This window comes from Homo sapiens, chromosome 3, assembly GCF_000001405.40.
Source record: "Homo sapiens chromosome 3, GRCh38.p14 Primary Assembly".
Taxonomy (NCBI): Eukaryota; Metazoa; Chordata; class Mammalia; order Primates; family Hominidae; genus Homo; species Homo sapiens.
In genome coordinates this window covers 108,543,318-108,563,753 of record NC_000003.12, presented here as the reverse complement: position 1 = coordinate 108,563,753, position 20,436 = coordinate 108,543,318, and the positions used below count along the sequence as shown (strand labels likewise).

The 20,436-nt window shown below is 34.2% G+C and overlaps 2 protein-coding genes and 1 pseudogene across 4 annotated transcripts in view; all 3 read left to right on the top strand.

Moving 5' to 3' along the window:
• The window catches only part of CIP2A (cellular inhibitor of PP2A), a 39,575-nt gene extending 25,685 nt beyond the window's left edge, over nt 1-13,890 (top strand). For all 3 annotated transcript variants that reach the window (XM_006713716.4, NM_020890.3, XM_011513057.3), the window contains 9 exons: nt 510-628; nt 2,913-3,105; nt 3,726-3,800; nt 3,887-3,997; nt 6,340-6,536; nt 9,265-9,378; nt 10,024-10,106; nt 11,381-11,520; nt 12,435-13,890. In XM_006713716.4, coding sequence (XP_006713779.1) covers nt 510-628; nt 2,913-3,105; nt 3,726-3,800; nt 3,887-3,997; nt 6,340-6,536; nt 9,265-9,378; nt 10,024-10,106; nt 11,381-11,520; nt 12,435-12,605 — 1,203 coding nt within the window. In that variant the 3' untranslated portion in view covers nt 12,606-13,890. The remainder of the gene's footprint in view (nt 1-509; nt 629-2,912; nt 3,106-3,725; nt 3,801-3,886; nt 3,998-6,339; nt 6,537-9,264; nt 9,379-10,023; nt 10,107-11,380; nt 11,521-12,434) is intronic.
• The window catches only part of MYH15 (myosin heavy chain 15), a 170,705-nt gene continuing 162,950 nt past the window's right edge, over nt 12,682-20,436 (top strand). The window contains exon 1 of the mRNA XM_011512559.3: nt 12,682-14,343. The gene's annotated coding sequence lies outside the window, so the exon portion shown is untranslated. The remainder of the gene's footprint in view (nt 14,344-20,436) is intronic.
• On the top strand, nt 19,879-20,380 carry RPL13P8 (ribosomal protein L13 pseudogene 8; annotated as a pseudogene).

The window sequence follows — 20,436 nt, the reverse complement described above, 5'->3', positions numbered from 1 at the left end:
GTTGATGACTTGGGGCTTACAATACTAATGTAAAATATTTACTGACATAAATGATTGAAGTAACTGTATTTTTTCGATCTTTAAATTTAAATGTTCTAATTTAATTTGAATTTTACTTTTTATTTTATAGCCTTAATTTGGAAGTGATTGGCCATTTTTTTCTTTTAAATGATAGCTTGGAAAAAAACATTAATTCTACACATCAGTCAGTTGTGGGTTTTTTAATCCACGAAAATATATAAGGCATAATTTTTATAGGCACATTTGAAAGCATTCAAAACCTTTGCCAGATTTTTTTAAACTGTTCATATTGATTGCATTGCAGTGTAAACAGCTATAACAAGGTATAATATATTCAAACTATATAGACTATAATATATTCAAACATTAGAAACATTTTAGAATTTGCCTAGAATTAAGATTTACATATATTTACTCACCTCCTATCTAAAAGAGCTGACATTGTTTATTCTTTCTGCTGCTTCTTTTTTGGTTTCTGATTTATTTAGGACCCACGTTTGATTACTCCTTTGGCTTTTGCTTTAACGTCAGATAATAGAGAACAAGTACAGTCTGGACTGAGAATATTATTGGAGGCTGCTCCACTGCCAGATTTTCCTGCTTTAGTGTGAGTTGTAATCATTTGCAGTGTATCTCTTGTGGTGTTGGAATACCCTGCTATGTCTCTTTAGTCCTCAGTATAGATACACAAGCAAATTAGTGAATTGAAGACTTCATTGTAATAGTAATTTTTCAAGTGATTTCTAAAAATGTTTGATTCTTATAAATGAAAAGTTCAGATGTATACTCACTCAGGGAAAAGCTAGATCCAGGCAGTTAAATGTTCTTCAGGTACTATCCCTCTATGTCTCTAGCCACTTCTTTTTAATGATAACTTCTGGACACTCTTAAGCCTACATCCTCCCAGTTTAGTTCCTCCATAGAAAGAGCTTTTCCTTCCTGACTGTTTAAGGAAAAGGTCTAAGCATTAGTCATTGACCAGGCCTGGGTTATCCATGAGAACGATGTGGACTAAAAGTTAGTTGGGATAGGAGAATAGGAGAGTTCCTAAAGAAAAAAATCTGAACTTTTATCAGAAAGTGGAAAAATGACAACCAGGCAAAATTTTCTACTATACTCGTTACTTTCAAGCAATAAGAATATTTGCAATTATGTTTGAAAAAAAATTCAGATTTCAGGGCTCTCTGAACTAAATGTCTATTAGGAGTCTGGTTTAAAATTTTTTTAAGTCATTTATATGTATGAATTTGTAAAAATGGTTTGAATAATTTGAAGTAGTTGATAAACAGGTAAGATATTCCCTGTATACCGGGATCAGCAAACTGGCCAGTGGACAGGCATCTGTTTTTGTAAATAGTTTTATTGGAATATGGCCACACCCACTCATTTTTATACTCTGTCTATGTTGCTTTCACTCTATAAAAGCAGAATTGAGTAATTGTGACAGAGACCAGATAGGTCCTTGAGTCTAAAATACTTACTATCTTGACCTATAAGAAAAAGTGCTGGTCCATGCTATATGCTATTCACTGATTTAGCGATTCCACTTTTCAGAATTAGCAATTTAGGTCATCATACCTTAAGAGTTAAAGTATGGGATGTAAGACCTAGAGAACATATAACCAAAATTCCCTTAATTTTATAATAAATATTTTTTTAACAGCAACAACAAAAATACACAGGAAGCTTTTCAAGTTACAAGTTAAAAGTGGTCTGTAAAGCTGCTCTATTTTGTGATGGCCTGCTTGCATAAACTGGTAATCTGACATGAAACAAAACCTTAAGAGCTTCAAAGGGGAATCTGCAGCCTCACTGAACATGGAAGTCTTATCCTCTGCCTCTGTGTGTGAGGCCTTCCCACCATTTTGACTGTGTCTTGGCATTCCCTGTCTTATTTGTGTTGTAAATAATTTTCTCTTTGGGCATTATCTCAGATGTCCATTTTATGCTTACTATTTAATGCCCTTATTTGACATTATCTTGGGCGTTTAATAAACTGAATGTATATTATGGATGCATTGGTAGGTAGGGTTTTTGTGTGTGTGTATTTACTTGTTTGTTTTCGAGACAGGGTCTCACTCTATCACCCAGACTGGGGTGCAGTGGTGTGATCATGACTCACTGCAGCTTCGACCTCTGGGGCTCAAGTGATATTCCCAACTCAACCCCCTGAGTAGCGGGGACCACAGGCTTGTGCCACCACAACTGCTTAATTAATTTATTTTTTTATAGAGGGGTCTCACCAGGTTGCCCAGGCTTGTCTCGAACTCTTGGACTCAAGTGATCCTCCCAAAGTGCTGCGGTTACAGGTGTGAGCCACCATGCCCAGCCTATAATAAATTAGGCTGAGTGCCTGCCATCTTGCAGTTTGCACTTTAGTTAAGAGATAAGTGAAAAAAATATTTTGTTTTGTGGTAGAAAGCGTGTTCCAGATAAAGGAACAGCTCATATGAAGGCCTGAGGTAGGAGAAAGAGAGGATTTTAAAGGGTTAGAATGGAAGTCAGGTTGGTGAAAAGTATGTACTGAGTGAGAAAGGAAAAGGACTAAGGACGTAAAGGCCAGGTGATATCACCCATGATAAGAACATTATTCTGACCAGTACCAATAACTTTGTACTTATTACAGATAATCCACACTCATAAACTAGTCTTACAATGCCTCCAAACCAGAGGTGAAGCTGTCATTATAAAAGGTTAGAAACAGAAAAGTGGGTGCTCTGGAAAATTCAGAATATTTCCCAAGACTTCATTTCATCATGGTCTCCAAGATTATTTGAAGACTTCTATTCAAAAAAAGGACCCATTCTTAAAAATTCCCTAATTCTGCACTAAGTCTGCCTTTTCTTCTATTTTCGTATAATTTTTTTTTCCTTTCTTTGACTCCCATTCAGACTTGGAGAAAGTATAGCAGCAAACAATGCCTATAGACAACAGGAAACAGAACATATACCCAGAAAAATGCCCTGGCAATCATCAAATCACAGTTTTCCAACATCAATAAAGTGTTTAACTCCTCATTTGAAAGATGGTGTTCCTGGATTGAATATTGAAGAATTAATAGAGAAACTTCAGTCTGGAATGGTGGTGAGTGAAAAAATAGCAATTATAACCTGGTACATATTAGCTATATGTCAGTCCCAATTATAACGTGTATCTAAACACTGTCAGGTACAGATTTCACTATTGAAACCTTAATATAAGAAATAACAATATTCTGGAAAATTTGGAAATAAGAAAAATCAGTCAAAATTTCAACATTTTGCCGGGTGCGGTGGCTTACGCCTGTAATCCCAGCATTTTGGGAGGCCAAGGAGGGTAGATTGCCAGAGCTGAGGAGTTCAAGACCAGCTTGGGCAATATGGCGAAACCCCGTCTCTATTAAAAATACAAAAAATTAGCTGGACGTGTTGGCTCATGCCTGTTGTCTCAGCTACTCTGAAGGCTGAGGCAGGAGAATCACTTGAACCCAGGAGGCAGAGGTTGCAGTGAGCCAAGATCATACCACTTCACTCCAACCTGGGTGACAGTGAGACCCATCTCAAAAAAAAAAAAGAAATATTTGTGACTTACCTGATGTAGCATTTGTTTTTATTTTGTTACTCATCATTAAGTTTTAATGATTTAGTTTTGAAGTAGGCATTTATTTTGTCATTGTGTCAAAATATTTTATTAAAATTTTAAGTTTTTTTACTCTTAAAATGTAGGTAAAGGATCAGATTTGTGATGTGAGAATATCTGACATAATGGATGTATATGAAATGAAACTATCCACATTAGCTGTGAGTATAAGCTTATTTTAACAATGTGTAATAAGCTTTAATAGATGTATTCCTAAAATGAAAATTAATGATATGTTTTCTTGTAGTCCAAAGAAAGCAGGCTACAAGATCTTTTGGAAACAAAAGCTCTAGCCCTTGCACAGGCTGATAGACTGATTGCTCAGCATCGCTGTCAAAGAACTCAAGCTGAAACAGAGGTGTGTAGAATATAAAGACACATCTGATTTGTAGAAAAATTAATAAGTAAAACATGCAAAATATTAGTTATGTATTTGTTACTCTAATTGAAGTAAATTCTCCTTAGCATTTGACATGCCTCCTTCCTTCTTCCTGAAATTCTGTCCTCTTTAATTTTGGTTACATCGTTACCTGATTTTTTTTTGCTACCTTGTATTATTTTCCTATGTTATTTATTTTGTACCTTTAAGTGTTGGGGACTCTGGGACTTATATTCTAAACCTTTTTCCTTTAGTTATGTGTTCTGTGGTTTCAATGGTTACCAAAATAGTAATGTTCCTAATTTTATATGTCAAGCACAGATCATTTTCCTGAGCACTATGTGCCTATGTTGCTCCATTTAAATATACAGCAAATACCACAAACTCAGCATAACCAATAATGAACTAATCACCCTTCCCTTTTTAAAATTATTCTTATGTATTCCCTCTTCTGTTTTTAGTGTTCTACAAATAAGAACCCTGGAAATCACAGTTTTTACCTCCTATAATTATTCACCAAGTCCAGTTGATTCTACCTTCTAAATATTACTCTTTTCTGCCCTATCTCTGCTTCTACCACTATTTGTTATAGGCTGGATCCTTTTCATTTTTTGTATGAATCATAGCAGAGCAATTAGTCTTCCTACCTGTAGTCTTCTACCCTCTTCTCAGATACTCTACAGCCAGTCATCTTTCCTTGGTTCTACCCCCTTCACCTAGCCGCTCCCCCAAGGATCTCTAAGGCAGTAAAATGATCCTGTCCCTCTTGTGCTGAGTATCTTTCACAGTAGCTGCTATTGCTTTCAAATATCATTAAAATTCTTTAGTTTGGCATATAAGGATTCTAACTATATAGGCCTCAATCCACATCTTTCATTTCTGCGCATTCTTTGCAGTCAGCCATGTTAGGCCACTTTGCTTTTTCTGAAACTTGACATATTCTCGTATTTCCTTGTCGTGGCACTTGACTTTCCATGTCTGGAACACCATTTCCTCTCTTCTGCCTAACTCATAATCCTTCAGATTTCAGTTAAAATATCCTCATTACCCAGAAGCCTACTCTGGTCTCCTTCCCACACGTGTTTGACGATCCTTCCTCTGTGTATCAAACCTACGCTTATCTCTTAATAACATTTTTCAAACCACGTGGAAATTCTTTTTTCCCTCACTCATGGTATCAAAGACTGCTTCTATAGCTCCAGGCCCTAGCATAGCACTTGGCACATAATAGGTGCTCAGTAAATTTGGCATTGTATTATGTACATATATAATGTATACCTTAAGAGTGAACTTACTGCAGTAATATGAAATTCCCAGCAGATACAAATGGAATCTATACAACTTGATATTATTTATAATGAATGAATTATAATAAAGTGTTCCTGGCTTTTGAAAGATGCATCAAAATAAGTGACTAGTAAAATGCCTCTTAAGTCTCTTCAGAATAATGGTATTCTTTTTTTCCCCCATATTTCTTTCTTTTTTGCTTATTTTAACATGGTTTCATTTGTCTTAACTGGTATGTTGAATTTGTCACAAATTACAAGAAAGAACATTAGTGATATTAAAATAATTTTTCCCTCTCCCCATAGCACATTCTTATATTTTCTGTCTGTTGGACATGTCTTGTATTTTATTAGAGAGTTTAATATTTTATTCATGTTACTGGAAAAGTTCTTATAAAAATAGCACTAAATAACTGGATACAGGTTCTTCACAAAGTCGTAAAAACAGAGAAAGGCTTAGGGTTTTGTCTAGCATTGTAAAATAAAATCCAAAGGGCTGGGGGGAACCAACTTTTTATTCTAGCGACTTTTCTGCTTTTTTAGTGTTTCATATCACATAATAAATACATGCAGGTTATGGTATAGGTTACATTCTTTGATTATACTAGCTTAATTTTAAGTGTTTGATTAAGCATCTGTGATGTCGTTAAGATTTTGTTCTTAATTCTCACCTGAAATGAGAATGCTGATGGTGTGCACACTTAGCAGTTTAGTGTTAATGGCTACCTCTGAGGACCATACCTTTTTAATTGAATACTGTATGTAGCGCGACCTTCATGTTGCTGCAGTTGTATCCATTTCCATTAATTTGATCATAGTGAGATTGTTTTTATCAGATAATGTATTAAGTTAAAAAAATATAACAGTATCCAACTTATTAGAAGTAAAGTCCTAAGTATATGTGACTAATACAGCTTTGCATGACCCAACAGATACCAGCTTATTAGATACTTAGTAAACTTTTAAATTGTAGGTATGTGTTGAGCATATGATATAGATGATAGTGGTAAAGTCTATCTTCTTTTTTTTTTTGAGGCACGGACACTTGCTAGTATGTTGAGAGAAGTTGAGAGAAAAAATGAAGAGCTTAGTGTGTTGCTGAAGGCGCAGCAAGTTGAATCAGAAAGAGCGCAGAGTGATATTGAGCATCTCTTTCAACATAATAGGAAGTTAGAGTCTGTGGCTGAAGAACATGAAATACTGACAAAATCCTACATGGAACTTCTTCAGAGGTAAATAAAGTAAAATCTTCTGTGTAAGGTTAGAACCTAGAATGAACATGCAGCATTTCTTTTCTGAGACCCGAAAATCCTTTTGTAAGCATTTCATATATTCTGATAACACATGAGGTAAGTAATTAGCAAGAAACTTAAGTCATTGTGAAATGAAGTGTTGCTTCCTCAAACTCAGTATCAATGTTGGAAACAAAATACAGGTCTTTCCAGTTGACTTCTTTTATGTATTCATAACAGTCAGCAGTCATTTGGGAGATAAGCTCCACAAGGACAAGTTTGTCTGTTTTGATCACTGACAGATCCCTAGGGCCTGTAGGAGTGCTTGCTGCATAGTTAGGCACTTCATTAATAATTTTTAAATAAACTTAGTTGTCAAATTAGTATTAGGTTGAATGGTCATTTCTGCAGATCAAAAGTAGTTGAATATTGGCAATTTCATATCATTCTGCCTAATAGAATGGAAATTTAGGTGTAAGTGTTTAACTCATCTCTTAATATCCTTGATTATAGTTTACTTCCATGTGTGATTACATCTGTAGAATAAGTTCACATAGGTGAATTGCTAAGTTAAAGGGTATGTATATTTAATATTTTGATAGATATTTCTAAATTTTCCTCCAAAATGTGATACAGATTGAGTGTCCTTTTTGAACACAATGGTAGCACTCAAAAAGTTTAATATTTTGGAGCACTTTTGATTTTAGACTGATTTTGGATTTTCAAATTAGTGTTGCTCAACCTGTACCAATTTGTGTGCCTACTAGCAAAGTTTGATTGGTTTTTCCTCCCTTATAAACTCTTTTATCTTTTTAGGCCAGTTGTAAAACTTCTGAATTACAGGGAAGACCAGGAACAATTATGTATTTTCTACCAACCCATAAAAGTAAATACACTCTGGGGGAACTTGTTTATTGCTTTATATTTTAAGATTGTTCTATGTTGTTAATACAGAGATATAGAAATTTTTAGCTTGGCATGGTACATATGCTTATTTCCCATCAATAATAATGAAGGGTGAGAAATGAATAGTATCTAGAAAATGATGACAAAGTGATTTTTTAACAGGATATTTACCCCAGCAACTTTTTACAAAGTCTGATTGTTTGAGGCACCACTGATAAAGTGTAGTATTAGTGATAAGCCAAGTTGAGAACGTCAGCAGTGAAGAAAATACGTTATAGAACTGAAATGGGTTCCATTTGCTCAATACAGTAAAACCAGGTATCTGCACCAAGGTTTGCAGTGATAGAAAAAAAGGCTTTTACTGCAGGGTGCCAAGTAAGGAGGAGCAGGCAGCCAAATGCTCAAATACTGACCTCCCCAATAGCTTGCAAGCAAGGATTTTTAAAGGCGAGTAAATTTCAGGAAAGTGGAAGTTACAGACAAAAATCATAAATAAATAGTTAAAGGTTATACATTGGTTTAAGTTTAAAGGACAGGATATTGTGAAGCAGGGGCTTACAGGTCATGGGTAGACCCAAAGATTTTTCGATTTGCAGTTGGTTAAGGAAGAGCAGCTTTGTTTAAACATTTGGGGTCAGTAGAAAAATGTTAACTAGCTAGGGAGAGTGACTTTGTTCAAGACCCTGAGAAAGAAACTTAGAACAAAGAACAGTGGTTAAAATTCAGCCTTCATTTTCTCCTTACCTGAGCTCTACTTGTCAATGGATCTGGTCAGTGGGCTTCCTCAATGAGGGTCCGGGTCTCTGAAATACAACTCAGGGACATGTGTTAAGTTGTTTTCTTTAAGTTCTATAAAGAATCAAGTATCACTGGTACTCTTAAGTTTGTTAACTTTGATTTAGGCTACTATTACCTTCCTGTTTAACAAGTTACTTATTTACTTCTAGGGCTATCTAGGTCCCTGGAATTTCCCTTGAGTGAACTCAGGATTTTCCTTTATTTTCCAGCTTGAGGTCCTCAGACCTCCTAAAAAGGGGATACCTGCTTTGTCTCACATAGAGAACCTAAGAGATAGGCAGCGTCCAAGAAAAATACGTGGTTTCTAAGACCTGCTTATGTTCCAGCTAGTGATTTAGGGGCTAGAAGGTGAAATTCCTTGAATGGACAAGTGGATAACATGTAAATGAAGCTGGCTGGGGAAAAGGTCATTTGTAATGGTCAGGACTGTCTAAAGGCACTCAAACTCAGATTGTTAAAATTCCTGTATGGATTAGATACAAAAACTGCTGGCCAAGTTTGGCTACTGGTTTTTTTTGTTTGTTTTGGTTTGGTTTTTGGGTTGCTTTTTAAAAATCTTTGTGCTTAGTGAAATAAAAAAGACATTTTATGCTTATGGTAGTTGAGTATCAAAGTATTACTTTAGAAAGGATTTTTTTCTGTGTTTACCTTGCAGGTAAAATACTTAGGACTATTAGATGCAGAGTTTTAAAGAGACAAATGTAGAACCCTAAACTTATTTATAGCAAATTATGTAATGCAATATCATCTGTAAAATAAGGCTTTATATCCATAAATATGAGATTAATGCCCCACACATTTCTATTTCATAGTAATTTTTACCACATCAGTCAACCAAAACATGTATTTACTGCCTTTTAGAGTAGATGAAATTCTGTTTATGTCCTGCTTGTTCATAACATTCCTTCTCTTCCAGCATATGCAATTTGGTTAGAAGAGATAGTAAAGAAAACACTGTGAGCTTCTTTTCTCCTTCATATGTTTTCCTCCATAATGATGCCAACTCATTTTCTTGTCTTTTCAGAAATGAAAGTACTGAAAAGAAGAATAAAGATTTACAGATCACATGTGATTCTCTGAATAAACAAATTGAGACAGTGAAAAAGTTGAATGAGTCACTCAAGGAACAAAATGAAAAGTAAAATCTCTAGTTCTATATTCTGAATATGTGGGATTTTTCAAAAACAAAATGATTCCCTTTATATAGAACATTGTTTTTTATTGATAAAATTAATAGAATTGTCACTTATTTTAGATATAAGATATGTATTTGGTGGAAGTTACAGGCAATTGCTGTTCTTAGAAATTTTGTTTTAAAGGCTGGGCATGGTAGCTCACGCCTATAATCCCAGCACTTTGGGAGGCTGAGGTGGGTGGAGCGCATGAGGTCAGGAGTTTGAGACCAGCGTGGCCAACATGGCGAAACTCTGTAAATACTGAAAATACAAAAATTAGCTGGGTGTTGTGGCGGGTGCCTGTAATCTCCGCTACCCAGAAGGCTGAGGCAGGAGAATCACTTGAGCCCGGGAGGCAGAGGTTGCAGTGAGCACAAGATCATGCCACTGCACTCCAGCCTGGGTGACAGAACGAGACCTTTTTTTTTTTTTTTTTTTTTTTATATTTTTAGTAGAGACGGGGTTTCACCATGTTAGCCAGGATGGTCTCGATCTCCTGACCTTGTGATCTGCCCGCCTTGGCCTCCCAAAGTGCTTGGTAGGGAGAAAAAGTTACAAATGGTATATGGTTCATTAATGTTTTCTTCTATTTTTTTTAATAACTTCAGAAGTATTGCCCAATTAATAGAGAAAGAAGAACAGAGAAAAGAAGTACAGAATCAGCTAGTAGACAGAGAACATAAGCTAGCAAGTAAGTGGCTTCTTATTTAATACATTTTCTATTTTTAATGTATTTATTTTGGAAGCATGAGTGGTTTTGTTTGCTTTTTTATTTTCTACTTATTGTTTTAAACTTTAAATCATATTTGGAATGGCTTCCCTTTTCTTGACATAATGTTTCACAAAAGCAGTTCGGTTTAATCAAGTTGAAAAAGTGGTACGTTTTTTAAATTTAGGAGCTATAAGAAATTGGCCAGGCACAGTGGCTCACTCCTGTAATCCCAGCACTTTGGGAGTTGGAGATGGGTAGATTGCTTGAGCTCAGGAGTTTGAGACCAGCCTGAGCAACATGGTGAAACCCCATCTCTACAAAAAATACAAAAATTTAGCCAGGTGTGTTAGTGTGCACCTGTAGTTCCAGCTACTCAGGAAGCTACAGTGGGAGAATCTCTTGAACCTGGATGTCAAGGCTGCAGTGAGCTATGTTCACGCCACTGCACTCCAACCTGGGTGACAAAGCAAGACTGTCTCAAAAAAAAAAAAAAAAAAAAAAAAAACAAAAGGAAAGAGATGATTGACCATTTAATTTAATTTAATTTTTTTATTATTTCAACTTTTAGAATCAGGGGGCATGTGTGCAGGTCTGTTACACTGGGTATATTGCATGACACGGATGTTTGGGGTATGGATCTCATCACCCAGGTAGTAAGCATAGTACCAAATAGGTAGCAATAGGTAATTTTCAACCTCCTGCCAACTCTAGTCTGCAGTGTCTATTGGTTCCATCTTTAAGTCTGTGTGTACTCAATGTTTAGTTCCCACTTAGAAGTGAAAACTTGGAGTATTTGGTTTTCTGTTCCTTCGTTAAATCACATAGGATTATGGATTGCCCTTTTCAAAATAAAAAAATGTTGAAGGAACGTAACAGCAGGTGGCAGTATTAGGTAACTTTTAGTTACTAGCTTCTTAATGGTATATTTGAAATGATCCTGAAAAACATTTTTGTTCTCACTTGCCTTAGAGCGCAGGCACCTACCTATATAATTTTTCATAGTTGTAGCTCTCCCTTTTCTAACCCTTACACTTTTGAGAATTGTCCTTTACCTATATAGCATATTATATTTAGAACAGAGGATGGAAGAAAGACATGGAGATTTGGTATTTTCTATAGAATACTGTCATAAGAGAAGTTTCTCTTCCTTGTTCTAGTTATTTCTCTTTTGCTCTTACAGTAGCTACTAGACCATTTCAGAGTAGTCAGTGTAAGACCTCTGAGTATAATACTTGACTTTTTTTTCTTTTAAGATTTGCATCAAAAAACAAAAGTACAAGAAGAAAAGATTAAAACCTTACAAAAGGAAAGGGAAGATAAGGAAGAAACCATTGATATCCTTAGAAAAGAATTAAGCAGAACAGAACAGATAAGAAAAGAGTTGAGCATTAAGGTAAGAATCTGTTCCATTTCTCATTTGCAGTAAAATAAAAAAGTCTGTTGTGAAAAGGGTGAATATGGATAAAGGAATGTACTGTTTCTTCAGCAAATTTTTTAGAAGATATTAGGATCTCAAAGCAGCTTGAGTATCATTTGTTATGAGGTTTTCATAATGTATTTTCTAAAATAGTTAAGCAGTTATTAAACAGATACTTTGTGTCAGCACCTGGTATTTTCAAGTGTGCAAAGAATACAGAAAGGGGTTACCAGTACTTGATGTCATATATAGGTAGCTGTATAATTTTCACTTTAACAAATATTATATAATGTGTTAATAAATATTTTCAACTTACAACTGAAGAAACTGAGTCTGAGGTTACTTACTAAAGTCACACAGCTAATAAGTGAATCAATAGGTATATATTCTGAATCTGAGTCCGGGGTTCTTTCTATATTACCATGGTTGCATAGCTTGAGTGGTAGCTATGAATTGTACTTTCTGGCCCGTTTACTACCAGGAAGATGAGAACAGACTAGGATTAAAGACTGATCTACTACTACTACTGAGTAACAGAAGAGGCATAAAATTTAGTACCACATTTACAGTTTTTCTGGTTCTGCTTTAATGTGATTATCTTATTAGTAATTTTAATATGTAGTGTGTAGTATTTTCTGCAAAATTTCAGCTGCTGGCATTAACTTAAGACAAGTTGAAAGTGTATTCTCAATTTGTATTATATTGTTTAATGATTATTCATTTTAAACTTACCATGTAATTGAATTAACTGAAGTATAATATTTATAGTATGTCTTGAAATGGTTGTTGTACAATAAAAAATAAAAGCATCTTAAAATATATGTATAGAGAAAACATTAAAGTTATTTTTCTTCTCAATTCTTCCTCCTCCCCCAACCCCAATTCCTTAGGCTTCCTCCCTAGAGGTTCAAAAGGCACAATTAGAAGGTCGTTTGGAAGAGAAAGAGTCCTTGGTGAAACTTCAGCAAGAGGAATTGAACAAACACTCCCACATGATAGCAATGATCCACAGTTTAAGTGGTGGAAAAATAAATCCAGAAACTGTGAATCTCAGTATATAGACATTATGGCATTTTGGAATTTGTAATCTCATGATATTTTTGATGTATTTATCTATTGGAGGGGGGGTGGGTAGGGGAGTTAATTTGTGACTTCGTAACAATAAGAAGTTATTATCTAATTTAGTAAAGACCCTGATCTGTTGCATGTTTTTTATTTGATAGTTTGAATAGAAATTTAATTTTCTAAGTTTTACTTTTTGTTTCTGGCTTTTATGGCTTAAGGTTTTCTTTGGTTCTTACATTAGAAAATCATTTTTAACCTCCATTATCATTTTTCTAAGGTTCTTTCCTTTTTCTTAGTTGCTTTCTATTCTGTTTTGCCTGTCTTATTTATTCTCATTTGTGATTATTTAGATCTTAAGACCAAACTTTCTTGGTATAACAGTCCTAAAGATTACAAAATAAAAATATAGAGAGAGTAAAAGTAAAAAGTAAAGTAAAAAGAGAGAAGGTATGATTTTACTGCTAGAGAAGTTTGTCTCTGAAGAAGCACAAAAGAAAATATTAGTGAATTTAAAATAATTTTTATACTGCTGTAGCATAATTTCTAAATTTGAAAAAAATGCAATGGTAATAAAATGTATAAAAATTAGAAAACTGTCATTGTGTTAAACTATTACATTTAAATGATTACATTTAACACAATAGCTGTCTCATAAAAAATCTAAGAACTTGTAGAATTATTTGTAAGGTATATTTAGTGTTTTTTTCTCTTTTTTCAAATGTTGCATAGTGGTCCAGATCATCTATAATTAATTATAAGTTTCTTATGATTTACATAAGGATAATTTGGATTCTACTCTTGCTGCATATTCAGAAAAATATTATTTACTGTTAATTCTGATATGAATTGTATTTAATTTGTTGTCCTAATAGTTTTTAATTGGTTCATTTAATTTTAAAGCATAGGTTAAATATCTTTATTTTTTTTAAAATACAAGGGTCCTTCTGTACTTTTCATTTGAATCATATCCTCTAACTACTCTGTAAGAAACGTTTTTACATCAATATTTTGATTGATTTTATTGCTATACCAATACAGTCATTAATTTTACTTGGTGTTTTCTTCACCATATGTCTGTTTGATTTAAGTGAATTTAGATTTGTACAGTTCTGGAAATTTTTTAAAAAATATTATGCAGAGTAAAACATTTTAAATTACTATTTGTTCTATAGAGGAGATACATTCTGTTTCTCTTTTGAAATTGCATGCATTTTCAACCAAATATGAAAAAGTTTAAGTGGATAGATAAGACTGAAGAATAAAAGGGTCTATAAAATAAAAGAGACAAAACGTTAAAGAAAGAAATGAATGAATGAACCAAAAATTCTAGGGAAAATCAATTTATCTTTCCAATTTAGACATCTTGAGACAGCCTAGCCTAGTGCTACCCTATACAATTTTCTGTGATAATGACAGTGTTCTATGATGTCCAGTCCCATAGCCAGTGGCTAAAAGTGGCCATTGAGCACTTGAAATTTGGCCTTTGCAACTGAAAAAACTAAATTTTTGATTTTATTAAATTTAATTTTGATAACCATCCTGTTAGATAATGCAGATCTGTCCCATTCTCACAAGTATGTGTTTAAAGAACTCAATTTGCCTTTTCTTAAAGATCTATATAAATAATTACCCCATTATATATATGTAGTAGCCCTTTCTTAATGTAATTTTAACCTGTTTATTTCTAATCTTCTCTCCCTAAAGAAGAAAGTCCGTACTGCAGCTTTGAAGAAGGTGAGTACTAATCATCATCCTTCATCTCTTTCTGTCTCTTGTAACACCTTTCATATTGTTTCTGTTGTTTTTCTGAGTGCCTTTACTATATCAGTTACTTTTTTTTTCTTGTTGGACTGTGTACCTCATATTAAAAAAGCAAAAGTGTGTGTAAATATTTTTTTTCTAAAAAAAAAAATTTAATCAAATTTGAACCACCACCATAGTCAGGGTTTTGTATGTGTGTATGCATGTCCATTTCCTAATGGAAAAAACAAAACTTAGGAAGTGCATCATTATATTAGGATTACTCGCATCCTCTTAAAATTTTGCTGGGGAGAGTTTGTCTCCAAAGTATACATTAACACAGTTCCGTTACTATTTACACTTGCCACTTGAACAAATAGACACATCTCATAAAATTTGGTTGGTTAAAGTTTATATTAAATTGTTCATTAATTTAATGTCAGGAAAAAAAGAATGAAACTGTATGCTGTGTCTTAGGAAATTATCAGGTCAGTGTCCATTTGGGTCTATTTACTTATATATTATAAGGACTAGTTACTTAAGAATAAAAAGAGATTCTGTCATGAGTTAGCACTGTCAGTTAAATGAAAATATGTTTGAATTTCTACTTCTACCTTTGGTCATTCATTCATATGTTACAGGTACTTATCAAGTTATATTTCCTAAAACTCAAAGTCTTACTGTAATTTGATTCTTTTCCTGCCTTCAAATAGTTATGAACTATATTTACAACTTTGCTTTTGGCATATATACCATCGTACCAGCCATGTGTCCTGTTTGTGACTTAATCCTTTGCAAGATTTAGCAAACATTTTCTGTAAAGGGGCAGATAGTAAATATTTTAGGCTTTCTGGAACATAGTTTCTGTCACAACAACTCAACCCTGCTATTGCAGCACAGAAGCAGCCATAGACAATACATAAATGATTAGTCATGGCTGTGTTCCATTCAAACTTTAGTAACAAAACTAGTCAAAACTTTGCTATTAGATGTTACATTTACTTATTAAGAAATGTCTTTTTATGTTTGGTAATCTTTATCTTGAGGTCTATTTTATTTGATAATAACATAGCCACTTAGTCCTTATTATGTTTTCTGTTGGCCTGATATATCTTTTTCTATCAGTTTACTTTTAACCTGTTATGTTTATATGTAAAATTCATGACTTGTAAACAAATAGAATTGGGTCTTGCTTTTTTATCAATTTTGACAAAATAAGTCCTTTAACAATCCACTTAGAGTTAATATTGTACCACTTAACTTAAAATGTAGAAACCTTGCAACTATATAGGTCCATCTGTCCTCTTCTCATCCTTCATGCTATAGTTGACATGTGCATTACCTCTGCTTATGTAGCTAACCTTCAAAACCATGTGATAATTTTTGCTTTAAGCAATTACATGGAAAGACTCTGGCTGTCAACATCAGTATGTTCACCTCTTTGCATGCACCAATACAAAGTAGTTTCTTCAGTGTAACACTCCTGTTTTTCCTTTTGGAAATAATAAGTAATTTGTGGGCAGATACTGCATATAGGCTGTTTCTCTTCCAACTTGCATCTGCTACTTTTAGTATTGTTGATAATTCTTACTTGAATCAGTTATTAATTTGATGGTTGGTTGCCAAGTGGATATTTTCCTACTTTTTAAAGGTAGAAAATTGAACATTTTGGTAATTTTATAATGTACTGAAAATAGCAGTCTATATGACATCACCCATATCATTCACGAAATTAAAATATAGTACTTAGAGTTTTTCAGTTAATACAGCATTTACTTTTTTTGCATATTCTTACAAGCAAAGCATGTGAGATTTGCTTTCTGTAGTTTAAGAAAATAAATAGGCATGTTAAGCATATTGATTTTTTTTTAACTACAAGAACTTTTTGATATTATTTTTCTACCCAAACCCCCTAATTTGAGAATTGCCTATTTAAATCATGACATTCAATTCATTTGGATCATCACTTTACCTTGGCTCTCAGTGATTACCAATAAATATTAAATGAGTATTACCCATAATAAAGTATTTTGGATTAAGAAAATAATTGTACATTTCCAGCCTTCACTAAGTTTACATTCTAGATAATTAACTTTTAAAAATTAAAACTTGGTCACTGCTCATGCCTGTAGTCCCATAATTTTGGAAGCCTAGGCAGGCAGATCATTTGAGGCAGGGGTTCCAGACCAGCCTGGGCAACAAAGTGACACACGTCTCCACAAAAAATAAAAAAAAATTAGTTAGGTGTGGTGACATGTCCCTCGGGCTGCAGTGTAGTGAGCTGTGATTGCACCGCTACACCTCAGACATATATATATATATATGGCCTATTTTTTTAAAGGCAGATGTTTCATTGATTTTTTATGTTGTGAATAATGAGCATGATAAGTCCTTGAAATTATATACCTCTGTACTCCATAAATTGAGAGGGAACATTGTGAACTCAAAAAATCATGGTTTATTTTCAACATGCAAATCACTTTGAAACCTTACACAGTCTCACTGAGTTAAGCATTTTGCAGCGAACTGACTTTCTTCCTGTCATCGAAGACCTCTGTGAGTCCCGTTTGGTTTATACTTGTGTTCATTTAAATATTTCAAAACTACCCCAGAAAAAACTTTATTATCACATAACCATGAATAAGAGGTATAACTCTTAAAACTCACCTTTTTTTGCACATTGAGCTACAAGTATCCCTTCATAAATGCAAGAAGGAGTAAGCTTCTTTCCTTCCAACTAAATATAACATTTTAGTTGTCTATTTCCTAAGGACCCAGTATCTATATTCTCTCGATATCTCAAAATATGATGGATAATCCCAGGATACATAGCAAAGGACTTTTTACATTCTGTCCACTACTACATTAGAGAGTGACATTTTCAAAGTCAACAGAGTGGATTGGCTTTCACTTTCATTATGTTATTAAAAACTAATTTTCCAGTAAGTAGCTGAGCATTTGGCAGGGATTTAGTAATGAACATGATTTTGCCTCTCCATTACATTATCTTCACTGTTATTCTAAGTATCATATTTCATCTCACTTATCTCAAAGAGCCAAAAGATATAATGTATTAGAGTAGTGTTATGCTTTTCTCAAACTTCAAATAAAAAGGCTTATGATTAGCCCTAGCAAAAGACAGCACTGTTCATCTTCAATTAGGCAGGGTTTTCATTTTAACTGAAAGTAAAGGCTACTATCAACTACTCCATACTAATTTGTGTAATACCCACAGTTAATCAGCATTTTAGAGCTGAGAGAATTCTGAAAGAACAGTGATCCCAACCCCTTTGTGTGTAAAAACGATGTGAAAAAAGATGCATTCTCAGAAAAGAAGTCCCATGATTCAAACACAAACTGATATGACTTTTAAATTAGTATGTGTTGTTATGGAACACACAGAAGCTTCACTTCTAGCAATTTATCTGAAAGAAATAAGGTTGTGCACTAAGATTTATGTACAGTAATATTATGGCACAAAATTGGAAACAATTTATACAGTAATAGGAGATTGGTTAATCAGTATAAGGTACAGTCATGGAGTAAAATATCATGCATCCTTTTTGAAAAGTTACTGAAATATATAATAGGTATTGGGAAGAGATTTTTGGTGTGTTAAGTGAAAAAAAGTAAACCAAACTATTTGTAAACAATGATTCAGATACCTGAATATCTTTAAGATTTGTTTGTGTGTGTGTGTGTGTGTGTGTATGTGTATATTAGAAACAGTGAACAGTGGTAACCTCTGCATAATGAAATTATAATTGACTTTTTTGGTTTCTAGAAGTACAATGTTACTTTAACTTTTTAAAACCATGTTTTAAAACATTGGTTTGGTAACCGCATCTAGATTTGAGTTCTGGCTCTACCTAAGGAAAGTTTTTATTTAATGTTTTATTCTTCTGTAAAATGAGAATAACACATACTTGTTAGAAAAAATACAAATAAAGCTCATGGCTTTTAGTAGATTTTCAATAATGGTTTATCTCCCTTTTGGAGATGGAACGAAGTAAAAAGTTTTATGTCCTTTGTCCTTGGTTTCCTCTTTCTCTTCATCAAACCTTTGGCCAATTGAGAAAGTAAAATGAACGGTAAAGATTCTCTGTTATTTTCGAGAGTAGTAGAGGATGGAGAGATTAGGGGTTAAATCTTTAAATTATTGTCTACACCCCAAGAGTAACACTTTTATTGACTAGACTAGTCTGGGTTGCTCAGACTAACTTATTTATATTAGATATCAATTATAAGCAGTGGTAAATTAACATCTCTTTTTGAAAGAAGCATTTTTCATACTTCAGATTAGCCTTAGGTATCATAGTAGTTTCTAATTAATGACTGTACCTACAAAATTCATTGTGAGGTTGTACATTGTTACTTCTTTAATTTCCTGGAGGAGATTATGAGGAAAAGATGTAGTTAAGAAAAGTTTGCCAAATTTTAGTGGTAAAACAATATGTCTAGGACTTGGATCCCATTATGTTCCCAGCTCTTTTGACAGATTTAAAAGTTTTCCTAATCTATGTTAGTATTTCTATTTAGAAATACCATTTTTGTAGTAGGCTCTTTTTTAAAAGTCCAAAGACATTTAGTGTTATCTACCTTAAAGTAGAGATGTATGTGTTGTGTTTACAGAGATAATGAAAATACAAACCTTTAATTATAATATCAAGGAAGGGTTACAAGAATCTTGGGAATTTGTACAGAATCCAGAGGAGAGAGAACTCAATAATAAATATTTGAAGCTGGCTGTGTAAAAACACTTTGAGAGAACAATAAGCAAGGTCACCCTGAGCCATTTAGTCTGAATGACATTTCATGCAAATACCCTTCAGATTAGACTGACTGAAGCCATGACTTGAATTGCTGCTATCCCTGAGCTACTGAATAAGAGACTTGGATTATTGATGTTGTAGGTCGATCCAAGGAGCATATTTTGTTTGCCATGTTGCCTGGGTGGATATGATCCACCCAACTTATGATCATACTGCTAATATTTTCAGAGGCTATGTTTCTTTGTAAGGTTAGTTCTGTGGTCATTACATACTAATCAAATTTATTTCTTTATGCCTCTTTTAAATCTTTCCCATTCTACAAACGATAGTATCACCTTAATTTTACCAACTGTAAGTGTGATTCTCTATTTAGGAAAGTGGGGGGCCAGAGGAGAGTAAGAGATAGAATATGAGCACGTGGTACAAAATTCAAAAATTAAAAGATACATGCACTTTCTGTTTTAACATGCAAAGAACTTGTCTCTCACTCTCTCAAGAAAAAAAGCTGAACAAACTGAAAAATCAGTGGCTTCTTTTAGATCCACCAGAGAATTGAGGTCACAGGACAAATCATCATTCTGAAAACTGTAGAGAATACAGTTGAAGTATGGATCAACTTATCTGAAGCTCTGGTAGGAACACTTAAATTGTAATTTTGTCGAATTACTAGATGACATGTGAACTAGCTTGGGAATTTAAAACTGTTGAGAGCCTTTCCAGCCAACCGTTCTCCTTCGGAGGAGAACCATATGCAGCTATGGCACCCTGCCAGAATGGCATGATCCTGATGCCTCACTTCCACAAGAAGTGGCAGTAGCAGTTTGGTTCAGCCAGCTGACCCAAAAGATCCACAGATGCAAGACCCAGCAAGCAAAAGCACACCACCATTGCCTATCATCCTGCATCTGGACCCATCTAGCCCATAGTAGGATGTCCCACAGGGAGATATCACACCAAAGTATAAGCTAGCAGAAGCTTCAGCTTAGAAGAGTTAAGGTGGCCAGCATCCACACGGTGACCCGGACCTTTGGTATCTGTGGATCCAAGGAGACATTAGAACAAGTCGGGTGAGTCCTGAAATGCCAGCAACTCCAGTTGAAGGAGTACTGCTACAAGCTCATCCGCTTCCCCAGGAAGCCCTTGGACCCCACGAAGGAAGACAGCTCTGCTGAACTCAAATTGGCAACCCAGCTGACAGGACCAGTAATGTGCATATCAGTGTCTTCAAGGAGAAAGCCAGAGTCATCACCAAGGAGAAGTTCTTTAGTATATACCAAAGGAATATAAATCATTCTGTTATAAAAAATACATGCAC